Below are 2,469 nucleotides of genomic sequence, written 5' to 3'. Positions count from 1 at the left end.
TTGACCCACTGGGGTAGGCCATATGTGCTGGGTTGTGAGATCCTAACAGACTAACAAAAGTGAGGAAGTGTGTGTGTATGTGTGGTGTGTGAAGCATAGAAATACAGTTCAATCTACTTTCTGGCATCCTTCACATTTACTATTTAAAGCCTAACCTTGCTGGTGGTCATGCAGTCCTGATTGTTTCTTGTAAAGTAATGAGAACATCCACCTGAATGATGATTAAGCAGTCATATTACACCCTAGGTGTGAGAATAGGCGATTTCTTCAATTCTCATTACTTTTTGTTTGCTCTTTTAATTTTCCCCAGTAAAAATGACCCTCAACTCTTTTAAGAATCTGCATATCTCAGAAGACCCTCTACATCTGCTAAGCCAGAAGCCCAAATAATTCCTACAGATGAAATTGCTCCAGCTCTGTGTATTCCAATAGGGCCAGGTAATCATTAACTGACTTCGATATTGAGCAATAGTATAATCTGGGACAAGTGTTTCTTCTTTACTTCCACTCATTTTGGACACATGACATCAGGGACTTGCCCTTCTCAAACTTGCCATATGCCTATCACTTACATACAAAACCCCGTCACTAACATAAGCTACAATTATAAGACTCAATTTTGAAAATTAAGTGTGTTTCTCTTATATTCCCCAGATGTCAGAATTGTTTTCTTTACCTTCATTCATCTCCTTTTCACCATTTTAGAAAGATGATAAGAGAAAAGAAAACTCAAAGAGAAAGGAAATATTCCAAAGTAGTATTTTGATTGATTGAGACATTTTAAGAACTCTATGTATTTGGCACCTGGAGGAAAACAGAAATTGATAATGCCAAACAGTTCATCATCACGAGTTGTTTTGGAGGATTAATTACAGATTTATGGTTCAGAGTGGTATGCTGTTCTGAAAAACAACAACAAATGTTACCTTGACTACCAGAAACTGCAAGAGTCAGGTCCCAGCAATCTGAATCTTTCACTGAAATATAGTAACTAAAAAGGAATCAAGTTCTGGGTGATTTCAGGTAGGGGTGCGTTAGTTGCCCCAGTGATATGTACAAATATGAATATTGCTCCCAGCAGATTGCTTCACTTTATATTCTTGCGATCCTCTCACCTTGACAATCTGCCAGCTTCCCTAGCTACAGCTCTATGTTTCCCCTTCTGGAACACCTCAGCCTTTGTGTAAAATGGGTTTTTCTAGATGTAAGGTGAGTCAGCAAAAAATGTTCCTTTTCTTACCCATCGTAGATCATAAACTGCTTCTTAAAGTTTTAGGTTCCTCTTGTTCACAGCATTAAGGGAAAATTTTGTCTTCTTTGTTCTGTAATGTTTGAATTGTGTAAGATAATTTCTGCCTAGAAATAAAAAATTATCAAAATGGAGAATAACTTGCATTATCTCCTTGGGGGAGGTTTCTTAAATTGTGGTTAATCTAGGAGCCTTGATTTGCTTTCTCAAAGTTTGAGCTAACGTTTCAAGGAGCTGGAAATTGTAGGCCTGTTTACAAAATCTTAGGCACTCCTTCCATTAAAAGATGGAGTCTGTCCTCACCCCCACTTAATTCTGGGCTGCCTTGTGATTCTTACAACCAGTGGGCGAGATCATACAAGGTAATGCAGCTTACGCCTTGTTTGCAAGGACATTAACTTTTGTAACCCTGAACCTATACATAACAGTCCAATTCCCCTGAAGCTACCATGCTCTAAAAAACTTCGGGTCACATGAAAAGGCCATGTGCATATGCTCTCATCAGCAGGCTTTCCTGAGTCAAGCATTCCTAAGTCATCAAATCATAGGTTCCACACTGATGAATATAACGAATCAAGATGCCTTCAGAAGATACTAAGCCCTAGCTGTGACATCACTCCAAATGTTTATATTTCCCCAGATTAGGCCCCAGATATGGAGCAGAGTCAAACCACTCCTGCTGAGCCTTGTCTAAATTCCTGATCCATAGAATTCATGAGCATAATGAAGGGTTTTTTATGCTACTAGGTTTTTGGATGGCATATGCAACATATGTACCTGAAGCAACTTCCCTTCTTTTATCTCTCTTCTTTTTTTGTATTATACTTTAAGTTCTAGTGTACGTGTGTGCAATGTGCAGGTTTGTTACATAGGCATACATGCACCATGTTGGTGTGCTGCACCCATCAACTCGTCATTTACATTAGGTATTTCTCCTAATGCTATCCCTCCCCCAAATCCCCACACCCCGACAGGCCCCGGTGTGTGATGTTCCCCTCCCTGTGTCCATGTGTTTTCATTGTTCAAATCCTACTTATTAGTGAGAACATGTGGTGTTTGGTTTTCTGTCATTGTGATAGTTTTCTGAGAATGATGGTTTCCAACTTCGTCCATGACCCTGCAAAGGACATGAACTCATCCTTTTTTATGGCTTCATAGTATTCCATAGTGTATATGTGCCACATTTTCTTTATCCAGTCTATGATTGATGGACATTTGGG

At 39.2% G+C, this 2,469-nt stretch overlaps 1 annotated feature.

Annotated features, from left to right (window-relative positions):
• Positions 973–2,172: an enhancer, noted in NCBI's record as "P300/CBP strongly-dependent group 1 enhancer chr3:26478985-26480184 (GRCh37/hg19 assembly coordinates)". NCBI's record gives its function as "activates an origin of replication core promoter dependent on BRD2, BRD4, P300/CBP, MED14 and CDK7 cofactors, with strong dependence on P300/CBP, by STARR-seq in HCT116 cells {active_cell/tissue: HCT116}" and the evidence as "EXISTENCE:reporter gene assay evidence [ECO:0000049][PMID:35650434]".

This window comes from Homo sapiens, chromosome 3, assembly GCF_000001405.40.
Source record: "Homo sapiens chromosome 3, GRCh38.p14 Primary Assembly".
NCBI classification, from domain to species: Eukaryota; Metazoa; Chordata; class Mammalia; order Primates; family Hominidae; genus Homo; species Homo sapiens.
Note: the sequence above shows the minus strand (reverse complement) of the source record. Positions and strands in the feature narration are given on the sequence as shown.